This window comes from Homo sapiens, chromosome 1 (assembly GCF_000001405.40).
Source record: "Homo sapiens chromosome 1, GRCh38.p14 Primary Assembly".
In the NCBI taxonomy this organism is placed as follows: Eukaryota; Metazoa; Chordata; class Mammalia; order Primates; family Hominidae; genus Homo; species Homo sapiens.
Genome location: NC_000001.11, coordinates 88,324,280 through 88,343,931, shown reverse-complemented (window position 1 = coordinate 88,343,931; position 19,652 = coordinate 88,324,280). Strand labels below are relative to the sequence as shown.

The window sequence follows — 19,652 nt, the reverse complement described above, 5'->3', positions numbered from 1 at the left end:
GGTCTTGACTCTTTATCCAATTTGCCAGTCTGTGTCTTTTAATTGGAGAATTTAGTCCATTTACATTTAAAGTTAATATTGTTATGTGTGAATTTGATCCTGTCATTATGATGTTAGCTGGTGATTTTGCTCATTAGTTGACGCAGTTTCTTCCTAGTCTCGATGGTCTTTACATTTTGGCATGATTTTGTAGCAGCTGGTACCAGTTGTTCCTTTCCATGTTTAGTGCTTCCTTCAGGAGCTCTTTTAGGGCAGGCCTGGTGGTGAGAAAATCTCTCAGCATTTGCTTGTCTGTAAAGTATTTAATTTCTCCTTCACTTTTGAAGCTTAGTTTGGCTGGATATGAAATTCTGGGTTGAAAATTCTTTTCTTTAAGAATGTTGAATATTGGCCCCCACTCTCTTCTGGCTTGTAGGGTTTCTGCCAAGAGATCCGCTGTTAGTCTGATGGGCTTCCCTTTGAGGGTAACCCGACCTTTCTCTCTGGCTGCCCTTAACATTTTTTCCTTCATTTCAACTTTGGTGAATCTGACAATTATGTGTCTTGGAGTTGCTCTTCTTGAGGAGTATCTTTGTGGCGTTCTCTGTATTTCCTGAATCTGAACGTTGGCCTGCCTTGCTAGATTGGGGAAGTTCTCCTGGATAATATCCTGCAGAGTGTTTTCCAACTTGGTTCCATTCTCCCCATCACTTTCAGGTACACCAATCAGACGTAGATTTGGTCTTTTCACATAGTCCCATATTTCTTGGAGGCTTTGCTCATTTCTTTTTATTCTTTTTTCTCTAAACTTCCCTTCTCACTTCATTTCATTTATTTCATCTTCCATTGCTGATACCCTTTCTTCCAGTTGATCGCATTGGCTCCTGAGGCTTCTGCATTCTTCACGTAGTTCTCGAGCCTTGGTTTGCAGCTCCATCAGCTCCTTTAAGCACTTCTCTGTATTGGTTATTCTAGTTATACATTCTTCTAAATTTTTTTCAAAGTTTTCAACTTCTTTGCCTTTGGTTTGAATGTCCTCCCGTAGCTCAGAGTAATTTGATCGTCTGAAGCCTTCTTCTCTCAGCTCGTCAAAGTCATTCTCCATCCAGCTTTGTTCCGTTGCTGGTGAGGAACTGCGTTCCTTTGGAGGAGGAGAGGCGCTCTGCGTTTTAGAGTTTCCAGTTTTTCTGTTCTGTTTTTTCCCCATCTTTGTGGTTTTATCTACTTTTGGTCTTTGATGATGGTGATGTACAGATGGGTTTTCGGTGTGTATGTCCTTTCTGTTAGTTAGTTTTCCTTCTAACAGACAGGACCTTCAGCTGCAGGTCTGTTGGAATACCCTGCCTTGTGAGGTGTCAGTGTGCCCCTGCTGGGGGGTGCCTCCCAGTTACGCTGCTCGGGGGTCAGGGGTCAGGGACCCACTTGAGGAGGCAGTCTGCCGGTTCTCAGATCTCCAGCTGCGTGCTGGGAGAACCACTGCTCTCTTCAAAGCTGTCAGACAGGGACATTTAAGTCTGCAGAGGTTACTGCTGTCTTTTTGTTTGTCTGTGCCCTGCCCCCAGAGGTGGAGCCTACAGTGGCAGGCAGGCCTCCTTGAACTGTGGTGGGCTCCACCCAGTTCGAGCTTCCTGGCTGCTTTGTTTACCTAAGCAAGCCTGGGCAATGGCGGTCACCCCTCCCCCAGCCTCATTGCCGCCTTGCAGTTTGATCTCAGACTGCTGTGCTAGCAATCAGCGAGATTCCGTGGGCGTAGGACCCTCCGAGCCAGGTGTGGGATATAGTCTCGTGGTGCGCCGTTTTTTAAGCCGGTCTGAAAAGCGCAATGTTCGGGTGGGAGTGACCCGATTTTCCAGGTGCGTCCGTCACCCCTTTCTTTGACTCGGAAAGGGAACTCCCTGACCCTTTGCGCTTCCCAAGTGAGGCAATGCCTCGCCCTGCTTTGGCTCGCGCATGGTGCGTGCACCCACTGACCTGCGCCCGCTGTCTGGCACTCCCTAGTGAGATGAACCTGGTACCTCAGATGGAAATGCAGAAATCACCCGTCTTCTGTGTCGCTCACGCTGGGAGCTGTAGACCGGAGCTGTTCCTATTCAGCCATCTTGGCTCCTCCGACCTATTCTCATTCTTTAAAATGCAATGAGTGCAGCAGTTAATTAACTTATTATAATGCAATAAATCCCAGCTCTAGCCATGACCAATGACTCCTCCCCCCACCTTTACCGGGAACATTTTCATTTATGATGAATTATCCCCTGGGTACTCAATGCAGAGGTGGGTGACCATGCAGAACTCAGGGTCAGACACAATAACACGATCCATACTGCTGGGTAATGACAAGGCTTCTACTTCTACCACTTACCTTCCTGTGCCTGGGCGCCTTTATGTTTCACCGAAGTCAGCAGACAGTGATGACAGAATGAGGGAGTTTCTCTCCTCCAGATTTCAATTCTCTGGAAAGTAATATTCAGGATGATTTGTATGTGGGTATATGTATGGGGTTAGATCTCTGTCTCATCTGGTAATTAAACTGCTCGTTTGAATACAAACAGGTCTAGTAACTTTTACACTTTCTTTTTTTTCTTTTTTCCTGAGATGCTTTTTACATAGAGTGAATACAATTATGAGCTCTTCTGGGTGCTAATTCATTTTAAATTTCCTTCTTAACCTTGCTCCTGTAGGATTTTAAATATTAACTTTTGCTGAATGATGGCTACTGATAGGAGTTTAGACTTCTGTAGATATTCTTTCCCTGTGACTCTGTGTTAAAAATTGTCCATTTTATAACATGTGTTTCATTTGATTCATTTTCAATAATCTGAATTGTTGAGGATACCCATTTTTTATGGGTTGAATTGTATTCCCCTAAAAGGATATGTTGAAGTCCACCTTCCAGTACCTCAGGATGTAAACTTATTTGGAAACAGCATTTCCAAAACTTATTCCAAAACAGCATTGTTGAAAACGTAATTAGTTAAGATAAGGTTATGATATGATTCAGTACTAATTGAACGACTTCACCAGTTCTTGGTCGTATGACCTTGAGCAAGTTACTGCATCTCTCTGAACATCAGTTCCTTTTCCATAAAATTAAGATACTGCTGACACTTTGAAGTAAAGAGGTAATGTTTGCAATGTGCTTAATAGAATGTAATCACTCAATTGTTTTTTTAACCACTCAATTATCAAGACCTTATTGTGTCAAATATAAATAAAAACGTAAATTAGTTGTCCCCCAAAAATCTTCTTCTACCACAAAATAACCCTTATTTAGAATTTTAACACATTATAATATAAATATATATGATGAGTTGGGCAGATTTTATTATTATCCTCATTTTAAAGATGAGGTAAGTAAGGCTCTTGGTAATAGATCAAGTAATTTACTCCAAGTCACAACATTAAGTGATGACCCAGGATTCTAATGCTTGATTTCCAAGCTCAAGCTTTCCAACTTCATTCTGCCTAATATCATAGAATGCTTAAAGAAGGAGGGCTCTTTGAGAACATTACTTTTGAGCACCAGATATAAATGACTTATTAATTATCATACCTCACATCTTTATTAAGAATTTAATATATTTCACCAGAATTGTTATTTCTGAATTCTCTGATTTGATTTATTATTTGTCTAAACCAATTGTATAACTTCCTTCTAAAATTCATTAATAGAAAAATTCATAATATAGATATTTATTAGTACCTACTATGTTCCCAACACTATTCTAGTCACTGAGGATGTAGTACTGAACTATAAATGCCTTTTCATTCTATGAATATTATTAGCAATAATAAAACAAGTGTCATACATACTTATTACATGTACATTTTAAAATAATTAAAATGAAAGTATTCTCTAAATATTTTGCTTTCTTTTCATTTCTTTCTGGGTGAGAATTGTCTACATTCATTTTCCTAGCCTATCAGTCACATTTTTTAAATTGGAGAAATAGGCCAGGAACAGTGGCTCACACCTGTAATCCCAGCACTTTGGGAGGCCGAAGTGGGCAGATCACCTGAGGTCAGGAGCTCAAGACCAGCCTGGCCAACATGGCGAAACCCCGTCTCTACAAAAACATACAAAAATTAGGTGGGTGTGGTGGTGGGCGCCTGTAATCCAGGGTTACTTGGGAGGCTGAGGCACGAGAATTGCTTGAACCCTGGAGGCGGAGGTTGCAGTGAGCTGAGATCGCGCCACTGCACTCCAGCCTAGGCAACAGAGTGAGACTCCATCTCAAAAAAAAAAATTGGAGAAGTATATATTTTTATGTTCTCTTTTGCCGCAATTTGCATTTCAGCTACATCATCAGAACTACTTGGGTTCCTTCTCTTATCCGTAAGCTGTAAAAGAGTCAGGATAGACCCAGTTTATGGCTAGAATTTACTTTTTTCTTTGTGGAGACTTTAATTGGCCCCTGAAGAGTTGACACATTTGATCTCTTCACTTTCTGACTGTGGTCTACAATTACTGCAGTTTTATACAACCATTTTTGGGTTGTGAAAGTCTCTTTCCCACCACGACTGCTCTGCTAAATTAGGCCCTTATTTGGGCTGCCTTTTGCTTTCCTTCATGTGTCTTTGTAATGCCTTGTGGCCTATAACGACTACTTTTTCTCATTTAATACTCTTGCCAGGTTTCAGCTGGACCTGTAATTCCATAATCATGATTATTATTCAGCATGTTGAATACTATTTTCCTGCCAAGCTTCTTGCAGTACCATTCAGACATTTAGGAACAATGAAGTGTATTGAGCCCAAGTGTTCCCAGCTAGGGTGAAGATGACCATGAAGATAGATCTAGACATTTATGACCTAACAGAGAAAAAGAGAATCAGAGACACAGTAACAAAGAGAAAGATGAAGTAAATCTTATTTGGTAAGTAAACTTACCTATAAAATTGACTTCTTTCTAAAGTCACTGCTTTTTCTGATTTTTAAAAATAATACATCTACAATGTAAAAAATAGGCAGTAAAATGTAAAAAATAGACAGTACATAGAATAAAAATTTTCCCCAATCATGCTATCCAGAAATAGCCATTGCTAACATTTTGGTGTATATCCTTCCAGATTCTTTTCTATGCATAAGTCACCTAAAACAAAACAGAAAAAAACAGAGACCATGCTCTGCATATTTTGTAACCTTCTTTTCTCCCTCAGTGTAGTGTGAACATGCTTTCCATATCAATAAATAAAGATCATCATTGTTTTTAGTGGTTAAATTTTATATATGGACCATCATTCATTTAACTTTACCCTTTAATGGTGATTTATATTTAGAGTTTTAAATATTATAATAAATTTTGTTTAAACATTTCCTAATAAATATCTTTACACACTTGACTGTTTAATCTTAAGGAGAAATGCCTAAAAGTATGATAGCTGCGTCTAAAGAACCCATCTCTGCTCATCTCCCTTTCTTATAAGATTAAGTCCAAATTTCTTAGCATGTATATGAGATCTTTCAAAATCTAGTCTATTAGTCTTCTAGATTTATATCATTGCTCCAAAACATACATAACATTGATTCAGAATTTTTCAAAAGCCAGTATACTTCTACATCTTTATTTTTATTTCTTGCTGTTCTATTTGGAATGCTTGCCTCCACATTTTCCTGTTCTATTTAATTTCTATTTATCCTTTAACATCCAGCTCAAATGTTCTTCTCTGGATCATCTTCTAATTCCTCATAAGTAAAATTAATTACTCCTTCATCTGTGCTCCTATATATTGAGTTGTTGGATTACAGTGTTTCTCAAAGGTCTTTCTATCAGTTGTCAGTCGTGAAATCCTTAGTAAGCATCTACTAAGTGCTAGGCTTTGTGTTAGATGAGCAAAACAGACCCTACTAACTTATCTTATGCAGCTTATATTCTTCTATATTTTAGAAGTATGTTCATTGCAAATGTTTTTTAATAATGTTATGAAAAATGGAAGCAACTGTGTGTTCAACAGAGAATTTGTTAACTAAGTTATGATCCATTCTCATAATATGATATCATTTTCAGTCTCTATCATTGGGCAGCATGGACAAGAGGTTGTCATGACTACTAGTTGGGCCAGGGTTAAAATTACAAATAAATAGCTTTCTCTCACCAGTCAATAATGATAAATCATTAGTGGTTGCTTAGAGTGTGTGTTGAGAATGATTAGGAAGTGCAGTCTGTTTAGCGGTCTATCATGGGACTGGGAGTATTTGCCATATCTGGGCTTGAAGGATGCATTTACAGCACTTGCTTAGGGTTTGGGAACTTAACAAGAAATGAAAAGACTAGGTGAGAGAGAAAGTTGGGTTAGGTGAAGGACTAGGGAAAAAACCTAAAGGCCTTGAATGTTGTGCAAAGCACCCTCAATTCTTCCATGGTTTGGGAGAAGACAGTAGGTAAAACCTGTCTTAAATATCCTCTTCTCTCTTCTTTATGGGCCATTGTCTCTAAGCATCTTCCTAAACACTCTCCATTAGGCTTAGGAGCCTAATGATTTTATGCTCTTCAGTTGCCAATTTTCTTCCACCATGTTGCCCTGCTAGAAAGTATCCTATCTCATATTCTAGACACTTCTCTCCTGGCCAAAGATTGCTGGTCTTTCATTCTGTTAGGTACTAATAATCTAAGTTAAATAGAGGTATCCACGGGCCCTAATGTGGGGCTGGGATGCATAATAATTGGCATTTTTTAGATATGATGAACACTGTTGTTAAACGTATTCCTAAATCTACAAACATTTATGGTTATTTCTTTAGGATGCCTGTAGATAGGATGATTATAGATATAGTCAGGATGACTCAGTACCCTCCTTCATCTTGATGTAGAAGTTTCTTTTGCCCACAGTGTAAATTTTTGATGGTAAGAACTGCAGACACTTGTGAGGAGGGGGCCTTTTTAGATTGGCTTAAAAAACTAAATAGGAAAAAACCTCTCCAATACAACCTTAAGTCAAAAGAAATAGTGAAATAATTGGCATGGGTGGGAATTAGACTTTTATTCTGAGGTGGGAAAAGGAGCTATGAAACAGGAGGGGATATAAAGTATTTTTAATATGGAAATACATCTTATTAAACCAGTATATTTAATCATTTAAATTAAATCATACTGCGCTATAATGGCATGGTAACTACTTTGTTCTTTGGAGAAATACTCACTGTTGATTCAAGGTTATTATAAAAGTCTCGGAAGCTCATGACTGGTTTTGAAATTCCTTGTCATATATTAGCGTAAAACAATAATTACCAAATTATGTGATAGTCTCAGGAACCACTCTTAGGAGCCTTGGAATCAAAATAGCTCCATCAGTATCAACAGATTCGATGTGTGGCTTAGTTTTAATTGCACTTAGGAGAACCTATTTGTTTTTAACACTTGAAAGCAAGTCTAAATTGTGTCCAGTGGGGGCACTTAGAGTAGCAGGCTTTGGCACCTGCCTCAGGTAAGAAAAGTTTTTGTTTATTTCATTAGCGCTTGATTCTTTGACAGACTGTGGCTTTCCACTTACTGCATGAAGAGCTGCCAGCCATTCCTGCTGGGAGAAGCTAGTATGGGACTAGCAATGAACTTCTGAAAGAAGTTATTATGCCTTATATGGTTGATCTCCCATGCAAATAAAAGAAGCGTCTCATACTGTAGCTAAATGGAATTGGTATTTCATCCAATGTAAATGTATGCCAGCGTGCTTTCTGGCTTTTATCAACCACTGCATCTCTCTCCAAAGCAGATTCCCAGTTCATCTGTCTATAGGGCAGCTGCAAGTCAGGGATGGAATGATGAAGACTCATGGATCTGTGTAGAATAAAAAGGGATCAATCAGATCAGCATGTATTTACCAATAATGCCTAAAGCATTTGTTATAATGCAGATTCCAGAGATGCAACACCTTAAAAGATTCAGTAGGTCTGAGTAGCTAATATTTATTGTGCTATTTTTTAAACACGTTAAGCATGCTCTGCCTCTGGGCTTTTGCACTTGCTGTTTCCTCTGCACAAACCACTTTTCCTCCAGATATCTTTTTGGCTCACTCTTTTGTTTCCATCAGGCCTGTACTAAAATGTCACCTTCTCAGTTAGGCTTCCTTTCATTATATCAAAAATCACAACTTCAGAATTCCCTGTATCCCTACCATCTTAATTTCTTTTCCATTGCTCCTAAGTCATATAGTATTGATTTTACATTATATATACTTATTTATCTAGAGTCTGAAATGAAACCCAAGAAGATGGAAATTCTTGTCAATTGTGCTAAATCTCTAGTGCCTAAATAATGTCTAAGCTACAGTGGGCACTTGGTAAGCCTCTGTCCATTGAATGAAAATGACTAATGTTTATTGAGCACTTCTTAGTTACTAGGTACTGTTCTAAGGGCTTTATATATAATAATTAATTTAATTCCCTCAAGAGGTCTAGGAAATAGGAATTATGGTTATGTCTATACCATTACAGATAAGAAAACTGGAGCTAAATATTGTACCAGCTCATCCAGGTGGTACATGGTTGAGGCAGAATTTGAATCTGGGTAACCTGATTACAGATCTCATCCCTCTGACCATATGCTCTAGTGACATAGATGATGCCTTTAATATTTTCTTTGTGGAAAATCCAAAGGCAGAGTTCTTATGTTTGTTTCATGTGGGTGACATTTGGAAAAGGCTAAAGGCAAAACACTAAAGCAAAGGTTAGCCTAGTAAATACTACAAGATTTCCCCCCTTGCATTCTGGCCTAGGGTAATCTTCTCCTTAACAGTCCAGTGTTATTTTTAAAGAGCTGGAATTTTTAGAATAAAGCCAATCTGACTTTTGTAGCTATAGGGTTGTCCAGGTTCTAGATGGGAATAGGAATGTTATGGGAGGGGTGGGGTAGCGTGGCAGGGTCTCCTCCGTCACTTGTTCTCAAATCAGACTCCTCCGAAATCTCATGGATAATACGATGATGCCATCCTTTTGAAATTTTTGGAATAAGAATGGATCACTGGCTTATATAACTGTACTGGCTGATTTGGCAAATATGACCGGCTAGGTGGATATCAGCCTGATCTTTTTCCACCCCAGGTATGTTCTCCCCAGAGTACAGCATTTAGTTAAAGAGAACTTTGGTTACCTCTGCTTTTCAACTCATAAATATTTTGAGTTCTGACCAGGTCATTATGATGACCTCTAGGATCCTTGAAAAATCAAATTCTTACTGGAATCAGGTATGCTGGGAGAAATTTGCTGAGTGTTGATGATCATCTTTCCAAATCTCTGTCACAAGTGAACAAAAATATACTAACTTACCACTCTAAGAAAAATATATGTTATCTGTCTATATTTATTGATTGATACTTAAGTATGGCCGTTGACCCATATTGTTTTAAATTATTATGGAAGATATTATTTGGTTATTAAAGAATGAAATATATTTTTAAAATTTGTTACCCTTCTTAAATTCATTCAGAGACCACAAGGCTGTTTTGACTTCACTTTGATTGAAAATGAACTGATGTGAATGACCTACTCTAGATTATCCTGTAGTAAAGAAAGAAAAAGGGTCGAGATTTTTAAAGCCCTGACTCGGAGTCCGATATTTCAGCCTCAAATATCTAACTAATATAAAATTTCTGACAACCACTAACACAAACAGAAAGAAGCCTATGGAAACCTCATCTTCTACTGAGCAATATCACATTTGTAAAGATAATATTAATACAAAATTTTAATGCTCTGTGGATCATTATCTGGCAACAGACCAACAGCAGAACATAAAACATTAACAACTAAAAGCGGGTTCTGAGTCCTTGGAGTTTCTAATTGTTGTTCATTATAAAAAGCCACCAAAATCATCTTGAGCTGATTCATGGAGAATTAAATAGATTTGGTTTAATAAAAATCTTCAGGTCTCTGAATAAATTATGAATGCATCTTGAATTTTAGAAGGATACATTGGCATTAGGAAATGGTAATGAACAGACATTTGAGGTGGGGGGACCCTTCTGATCATCCCATTTGAAACTGATTAAAAGCTAATGAAATGAAAGTGTTTTCACGGATAGATGTGCAACAAGTCATGAGTTGTGGACTTTAATAATATATTTTCTTCACAAGCAATAACACAGCAATTAGGAGATGCTCATTGAGGTAGAAATAATGGTAACTGCTGTGCAGATTAGGTTTGCTGAAGGGAGCTCTCAGACATACACTAAAACAACATATTCTAGGTTCTCGTTGGTGTGTAATTTCTAGTTTATTTACTTATCATCTCAGTTAAAGAGGACTCTTGGCAGTAATGAGGCTACATAGAATAGTTTAAGATGTTACAAATTATATAAAAGATAAATCTAATGATTATCTATTCTAATGACAGTGCAATCTTGTCTTTCCTTGTGGGGAAATTGTATGGTTGTGAGACGCTCATAGCTGGGGAGAGTGCCACGGTACAAATGTATTCATTATTTTTCTGCCTGCTTTGCTTCTGCATGGCTGTTCATGAAAGCTGGGTAATTCATTCGAGCAGGAACCACTTACCACAGACCTTTCACTGGTGCTGTAGTGCCTGTAAGCAACCCGGTAAATATATAAAAATAATACGCTGGAAAACAGGATGGAAAATTTTTCAGCAAGAGGAGAATGACCTACAATGGTGTTACCAAAATAAGGGAAAGAAGGGTCAGGGGAAATAGCATATTGCCACCTCGTTTCTATTTACTATAATTGCCTTGAAAGTAAATACTCATGAAAGACATATAATGAAACTTCAGAGCAGACCGTATTTCTGAGGACGTCTGCATTCATTGGGAGGAGCAAGCTGGAGGAAATACAGAAGACTTGAGCAGAATTTTGAGATTCACGGCTTGCTTGAGTAATAACTCCAAGTTACAGAAGAAATAAAGATCATTTGTTTCTTTTTCTTAATTGTGTCTTCTTCCATATCAAATGGATTTTTTTCCCCATGAGAATCTCCCTTTCCACACTTTCCCAACTAAATGCAGAAAAGCTTAGGAAAGTAAATAATAATAATAATAATAAACCTTCCCACTTACGTGGGAAGATAGTTGGGAGAAATCTCTATGTGACAAATAAGTGGCTTGAAAGAAAGATGGAGCCAAACTTCTGGTATAAGGGCTGGTATTTATTATTTGGTGACATTCAGTTTATGTGGTCTTATGTTTTTTATTTTTAGTTTTTAATTCTCTGATTTAAACACTGCTCCTAACCATGCTGAATCATTTGAAATTGGTGTTTAGGATATGCCTCTAATTCCATTAATTAGTAGCAGCATATTTGACGGTATAGCTCATGTTGAAAGCTGTTCCTTTCATACCCTTAAGGTAGAAAATGCTTTCTCATTATTCAGGTGAATAGCAGAGGTGTGGATGGCAACATCCATTCCAAAATTCCAAGCCCATTGTAGGTGTTGTTAATTGGCATTGCCACCACTTTCTTTGGAGCCTGGAGGTGGCCTCTGAAGCTTTGCTTTCAGAAGAAGCACCTGAGTCAGCTACTGTCAGAATAGGCAGGTGAGATGAAACCCATTTGCCTCTTCCTGCTGTAAGGTTACTCTAAGAGGGATCGGTGTGATGATGTCCTGAGCTCTGGACTCTGTTCTTGGTTCCTTATTCCTTTTCATTTCTGGCTATTTCCTTTAGTTCAAGAAGGAGAACAGTTCCAGATTTTGAATAAAAAGATACAAGTTCTGCTTTTGTCTTAAGATAAATTAATTGCTGTTAAAACCTCCAAACCTCAGTGGCTTAATACAATTAAGATTTATTATCATGCCAGTCCTAGACCAATCCTGTATTGCTATGGGGCTCTGTTCTATGCCACTCTACACTGTCTTCCATCTAGAGGCTCTGAGTTTTCTCTAAGGCTTTAGAATCTTCCACTGGGTCCTCTGCCTATGCCCCAGAGGAAAAAGAGCTCCTGGATTGCAAAAGAGATTTCAGGGAAATGTAGCTTGGTTGTGTGTCTAAAACAGGGATTGGCAAACCTTTTCTGTAAAGGGCCAGATGGGAAATATTTTAGGCTTTTCGGACTATACAGCCCCTGTTTCAACTCCTCAGCTCTGCTGTTGTAGCATGAAAGCAGTCCCTGACAATATGTAAATAAATGAGTGTGGCTGGGTTCTAACAAAACTTCATTCCCAACAAGAAGTGGCAGGCTGGATTTGGCCAGTGAGCCATGACTTGTGAACATCTGGTCCAGGAGGAAAAGTAAATCGATTTGGTCAGCACATAGCAGAGTCTCTTGCACAGTGATTCTACAAGCTGTGTGATATTGGGCAAGTGACTTATCCTCTCTGAGCTTTTTTCTCATCAGTTAAACAAAAAGGCTATATAACGTCTTCCTTGATTTATCTCAGTGTTGTTGTGAAGATCAAGTGAGATAATGAATCATTAGAACTTTGTAAACTACAAAATTATATATGGATGTATTCATAAATGTACAGAAATACCCACCAAAGACAGTTGTACCCCTTTTCTTCACATAGATACAGGGACTCCATAGATTGGAGCAAAACAATGGGAAAAACACCATTATTAACACGCTTGAGTAATATTGAAATTATTTCTGAAAATCCAATGGACTTAAACTAATCCAATTCTTGGTTTATTCTTTCCATGAAAATGCCAGCTTGGATTTAACTGGAGGATTCTGGGTAGTTAGAAAAATAAATTGATGTTTGATTATAGCGGTCAACACAAAAACTTTACTAGAGGACTTGTTACAGATACAACTGGAACTTCTTTGGAAAGGATCTTTGTTCTAATAATGAAACAAGGTTATCAGTATATGCAAAGTGTATTAGTTTGCCAGGGCTGCCACAGCAAAGATTTAAACAACAGAAATTTATTTCCTTATAGTTCTGGGGGCTAGAAGTCCAAGATGAAGGTGTTGGCATAGTTGGTTTCCTCTAAGGGCCTCTCTCCCTGGCTTACAGAGGGCATCTTCAATTGTTTTCACGTTGTCTTCCCTTTGTGCCTGAGTCCTAATCTCCTCTTCTTATACAGACAACGGTCCTATTGAATGAAGGCCCACCTATATGCTCTCATTCTACCTAATTACTTCTCTCTAAAGGCCCTATCTCCAAATATAATCACATTTTGGGATTACTGGGGTTAGGGCTTCAACATATGAATGGATGGGGTGGGGTCAGGCACAATTCATTCCATAACACAAAATTTCTGCTTTCACTCTAAAGAGACAAAGATACCTCTTAGGACTCTGAACCAGTTTAATTGTTTTTGCCCTTATAGATCTGTCTTTTAAGTGGCTCCTTTCTCCCTTGCTACTACTGTCCTTTATTGCCTTTTTATCTTTTCTCCCCTTCATGTTATTAAAAAATCTTTCCTAAATCATTTTGACATAGAAAAATGGAGTTTGGATAAAGAGGGAAGAAAGAGAAGAACATTTGGTTCTCTGTCCCATTTTCACTTTTCTCTACAGTTTTACTTGTTGACCTTAGTAGTTTGAGTCTAGAGGGAACAGCTTTCAGGAAAAGGAAAGACAAAAATAGATATTAATTGGTGACAAAATAAAACATATTTGTATCTCACTACTATTATAAAGAAGCTGTTCCGTCCGTCCGTGTGTGTGTGTTTCCTGCCTTAACCGTTTTATACCAGTATGATGAGTGATGTGATGAAAGTTCTAAAAGCAGCATTGTAAGTATTAATTAATGATTGAAAAGCACTTTGAAGATGAAAAGCATTTCTATGAGCAATTGCAAGGCCATATTACTATTGTCATACCAGCAAAAAAATTACCATTATGTCATGCTGATCCTTATGAAATCTGCCTGAAGCTCCATTCTCAATGTATTATAATGCTTGGACTTTACTGTTCAAAATTCTATATTATCAAAAAGTTATTAGCTAGGCAGGGTGGTGCACACCTGTAGTCACAGCTACTCAAGAGGCTGGGTGGAAGGATCGCCTAAGACTAGGAGTTTGAGGCTGCAGTGAGTGAGCTGTAAATGTACCATTGCACTTCAGCCTGGGTGATGGAGAGAGAACCTGTCTCTAACAACAACAACAACAACAACAACAGGTTATCGATAAAAACATTGAAAAGCCAAAGCACTCTAGAAAAAATAGACTGTGTGGCCTATTAAATCTAGTTCCTATATTGTGACTCAGATAAATACAATATCATGCTATGATTAGCATTTGATAATAATTTTGAGTTTTTAAAAATGCAAACTTTTTGCTTAAAAAACACCAATGACTTCCCATTGCCTGTAAGATGAATCTATACTGTCTAACATGGCTTGTTTTCACCCTGTAACTCTGAATCATTCCACAAATACTCATTAAGCGTCTATCATGGGCCAGGCATGGTTGATCCTGCTAAAGATACAGTAGTGATCAAAACAGACAAAAACCCTTGCCCTGCTTGAACTTGGTAATACCAGATTGTGGGCCTTTGCCCACACCCTTTGCTCTGCCTGAGGCTTTCTCTCCATCTCCCCATTATTCTGCCTTTGCCTGATCAACTCTTACTCATCCTTCCAGTCTCACTGTAGAGACCGTATATTTAGGAAGTATAATGATTAATTTAATGTGTCAATTTAGCTGGGCCACAATGTCCACATATTTGGTCAAACCTGATTCTGGATGTTTCTATGGAGGTGTTTTTTTTGGATGAAATTGACATTTAAATTGGCGGACTTTGAGTAAAGCAGATTGCCTTCCATGATGTGTGTAGCCCTCATCCAGTCGGTTGAAGGCCTGAATAGAGCAATGACCTCTCCTTATCAAGTGGTTCTGCTGTCCTTGGACTCAAAATACAAATCTTTCTTTAGTCTCTAGCCTGCTTACCCATCCCATCAGATTTTGGACTTGCCAAGCCTCTACAATCATGTGAGCCAGTTTCCTAAAATAAATCTTTATGTACACATCCTATTGGTTTTATTCGTCTGGAGAACTCTAATACAACAAGGCCCTCTTGACTCTTCAAGTCTGTGTTAGGAGCTCTTCCTACACTTTCTCGTAGCATTGTGTGCAGTTCCTAGCATAGAGATCATCGTAGTGATCTACGTAAATGTATAGTAAGTACCTGTTTGCTTGTTGGTATCCCCTACTAAACTTTAAGTATCTTTAGTATAAGGGCCATCTCTATTTTTCTCACCATTATACCAGCTCCATAATTTTAAAATGTATGTTATTTACCTTAAATAGAAGCTTCTGTCTTCAGGAAAATTTTGAGGAAGTTTTATTGCATTTATCTACAATTTGGTTGTGTATCATTCTTTGAACATTAAATTCTAATCTGAGTTCCAGACATTCCCCAAGCTGGCCTTGGTAAAGCTGAGATCAAGGGGAAGCCAAGAGTAATAGAGATGTGGTATTGCCCAAGGTAATTTACCTTAATTCTATTTCTGAGTCTATAAATATCCACACTCAGAACCATGTGGACTTTGACTATTTCCATGCATACTTCTTTTGTTTATTAAATTCAAGAGTTGTATATAATTTCTGGATCATTCTGTCCCTTGATGGCCACAATGCTTTTTCATAAGAATCTGCCTCCTTCCATAGTCTTGGCTTGCAGAATCCTATTGCTAGGCCATCCCATCAGTGTCTACTCAGATCATTGCTTCTATGTTTGAGAAAATTTTCTTTTGAAAAATGGCAGATTTTCTTATTTTCCCTATTAATTACATCTATAACTGTATCACTGGCATGTCTATGTCAAGGCTGAGGCATAGAAAAGAGAAAGAGACTGTTCTCATGACAAGCCAGAAAACTACTTGTGAGTTTTGTGGTAACATTATTCTAAAGTAGAATTCAGTTATGCATTTTGTTGATTTTGCGGAATTCTCCCTTCTGATAATTACCATATCAGAAGGACTTTGTAATTAGGAGATTCATCCTGTAAGATCTTCTCCTGCCTCCTCAGGACAGCACTACACTCAGTTTCTAAAAGGCTGATGAGATATCTGACTGCCTGCTAGCTTTTTATGTAATTGTTCCTTTGCCATAGAAATGTTGACTTCCTGTTATCCACAATTTCGGTCTGTCTGAACTTAGGAAGTTAACCATTCAGGAAAGAAACATCAACATTCTTTTAGCTTCTTGCTGACTACAAATGATGTAAAGTAGTTTACAATGGAGAGAAGGCGGCTGGTGTAGCTATGAGTCATTCCTGCCCAGATCTCCTGTGACTCATTTTCCTTCATTAAACTGAGCAGAGTCAATAGCCCTTCAGTTTTCTGAACAGTAGATATAACTGCACTAATGACTGGCAGTTGAACAAGTTTATGTTCTAATTTATTTATTAAGCAACAGTAAAACAAGTATAAAGTACCCATCAATGAATAATGGGAGGACATTAGTGTTTCTGCCTATGAATTAGACCTAAAACAGAGCTTCTTTTTATAAAAAATGAAGAAGGCTGTGCTAGTCCCTGTCAACATAGCAAAAAAATTAATTTTTGAGGATCTCATTCCTCCCATTTTTAGACCTTGTTCCAAACTGGTAGCTGAGAAGTCCCATTGCTCAGGGCTGACTTTCTTTGACCCAACGTCCATAGGATTTCCTACCCCACTGTTTCCTGCCTTGGTTTCCCCTTTGCGTACCCCCTTTCTTTTGTCCCACTTCTTTCTCTCCATCTGAATACTTTGCCTATTCATTTCCTTACTCTTCATCCAACATTCCAATCAAACTTACTGATATACATCTGAAAACTTCAGGGCTCTAATGTGCTAGCATTTAACTCAATCTGCTTATCCCTAATAGGATTAAAATAAGTTTACATTTTTTTTTTTTTTTTTGCAGTGGCCCTACATTTGTCATCTACCACAAAAGGTAATCTAATGTTGGATTTGAGAAGAGAATTTAAGAGCAGAACTCTGGAATTAGATAGATCTTGGTTCGAATTCATTGCTTGCTAGATGAGTGACTTTGAGCACGTTATCTAACTTTTGTCGGCCACAAGAGTCCTTATTTGCAAAACAGGGATAATAATAAGGATTTGTAGATGAATGAGGTGATATACATATACAAGTATTTATCAAGATGAGTAATAAAAATGTTCTCCCATGATTATGTGAAGTCTAGGTATATTTGTTTTCTGTCAAAATGTATTTGGGAAATTTCTTAACCACTACATAATTTTTGGTGATTTTGAAATAAATGTCTAGGCAAATGCTGTGACATTTTTTTCTTTTTGCACAGAAGCCAGAAACAAGTTGGGAGAGAAATTGAACTGGTTGCTAGGAATATGATTGGTTTATATTCACTAGTGGGTCAAGTGATGGGGCACTTATGTAACATATAACCTGCTTCCTTCAATGTCTAGAACCTAGTAGGCATTCAATGTATGGTTATAGTTACTGTTATAATCATAGCAGGTCGGAAGAAACCATTTGGGAAGTAATTCATTTTAATTTCTCTTCTAAGCCATCATTGTTTCAAAGATATTTATCCGTACTATTAATAGGTAGTTCCTTTCTATTTTTGTATAGTGCTTCATTACCTACACAGATGTTATTTTGTTTACTTCTGAAAACAATCCTGCTATATTTCTGCTTAACATTATTTCTGATTTATAAGAAGCTGAGACTCAGAGATAAAGTGACCATATAATTTCTTGTCTGAACCAGATATTTTGAGAGTGAAAGGGGCATTAAACTGGAATTGTCCTAGGCAAACTGGGAGGTTTGTTTACTTTATTCAGAGAGGTCATGAATGTTCCAAAAGCCATCTATCTTGAAAAGTGACAGATTTTGGACTAGAAGGCAAGTCTAATGACTATATTTAAGACTCTGCTAGAATTTCTAGGCGATGGTAGGATGTAGGAAATTAGTTTCTTGAGGTCTGTGTGATCATTACCATAAAGAAGTACAGACAAAGTTCCCACACCAAATAGGTGCTGACCTGTTCTGCTAATGTGCTGGACTAGCCACAATGATAAGGGATTGCAATCATATGATGAGATTCCCCATTCTTTTCTTACCTAATGAAGTCACTTATTTATTCATTGAACAAACCTGTATTGAACACTCACAGACTCATTTATCTATTGCTACATAACAAACCACCCCCAAAATTAGTGGCTTAAAACAACAATAATTTTATTTATTCATGATTCTATGGGTATGTAGTTTTGATTAGGCTCAGCTCTGTGGTTCGTCTGCAGGTCTCATGTGGAGTCATTCATGAGGCTGCAGTCAGACATAGCAACTCATTTGGGGCTGGATGGCTTCTGATGGCCTCACTCACATGTCTAGCAATTGGTTCTCACTGTCAAGTGGTTGGTGAAATAATTCTCAGCTGAAATAGCTCATTTTCACTCCACGTGGCCTCTTATCCTTAAAAACATTAGCCTAGGCTCTTTACAAGGTGATAGCATCACCTCAAGAGAGTGAAAACAGAAGCTTCATGGCCTCTGGAGGCCTTGGTTTAGAACTGGCACACTATTTTCTTGCCTCAGTCTATTGGTCAGGATAAGTTATAAGCTCAATCTTGATTCAAAGGTTAGGGAAAGGAACTTGACCTCTTAATGGTAGGAGCAGCAGAGAACCCTGCAAGCAAAGTGTGCTGCGAAGAAAAGGGTGGTGCACACAGTATGGGAGAAATTTATAGTTTTTTATTATCTATCATCTATCCTAGAATATCCAAAACATTACAAGTCTTTTTTTATAAAAACCAGATCTGGAGACAGCCAGTATACTGGCAATTTGGCACTTGACCTACACACCTTCAATTCAGCATAAAAAAAGAGAGGTTGAGTTAGAGATATTTGATTTGGTTAAGTGGCTTCAGCTCTAGCCAGGAAGCATTAGATTGAAAGAGAAAAAAAAACCTTGCCAGATAATAAAGCCAGTTAGATTTATTGTATTTATGACAGTAGGGAATTCCTTTAATCACATATTCTCAAGTGCCTTTGGGAACATGGACGATAATAAAGTGTATGCTGAGAGGAATCAGTGACAGTATTCTCCCCAAGGAGAAAAAATGTTACTGAAGCTCATCATTTCAATGTTTCTTGAGGGGCTCAGAAGAGCAAATCTTACAGCTGCCCGCAACCTGGATACGTGGAGTGCTGGACTGGAAACTCCTTAGGAAAACTATTAGGATACATAGCCAGCACTGTTCTGGAAAGCCAGTTTATTTAACTGTGTAAGGTAGTGCAAGGGACTTAGAGAAGAAGGCTGAATTGGATCTTTTCTCTTTAGTTAGGCAGGCATTACAAGCCATACCTTCATATCTCTAGGTGGCTTTGTGGTTTGTGTCACTGGTCCTAGCTAATGGGGACTAGGCTCCAGATGGTTGGGTGCAAACTATACCATGTAGTGGCCCAGATGGCTCTAGTAATCAAATTAAATGCTGGCTATCAATCAGTGTGCATATACTTAGCACCCATTATGTGCTGGACTTTGTGAGGTGACATAGAAATATAATACTAGTTTTTTTTATCTCATCTGAATCTGCAGTCTAATTATAGGATGTAAGAGCATGAAAGGACAAAAACAAAAGTCAACTTTTATTTCCATTTCTTTGAAGATGTGTAAAATCAAACACGTGGAGAAAATGATGCATGTGTTTATAAAAACATTTCTTAAAATTCTATTCTTTATGTGTGATGCATCAGAGAAACTGCTGAAATATGATCAAATGATTTCCATTGGTGTGGAGATGCAGTAGTGAGATGTGCAACATAAGCAGGATAACATTATTGCCACGAGGGCTCAGTCTCATTTGTTAGCTTTG

The 19,652-nt window shown here is 38.0% G+C and overlaps 1 annotated feature.

Moving 5' to 3' along the window:
* Positions 1,818–2,371: an enhancer, noted in NCBI's record as "H3K27ac-H3K4me1 hESC enhancer chr1:88807244-88807797 (GRCh37/hg19 assembly coordinates)". NCBI's record gives its function as "activates a minimal SCP1, AML or CMV promoter by ChIP-STARR-seq in naive H9 embryonic stem cells {active_cell/tissue: H9 hESC(naive)}" and the evidence as "EXISTENCE:reporter gene assay evidence [ECO:0000049][PMID:30033119]".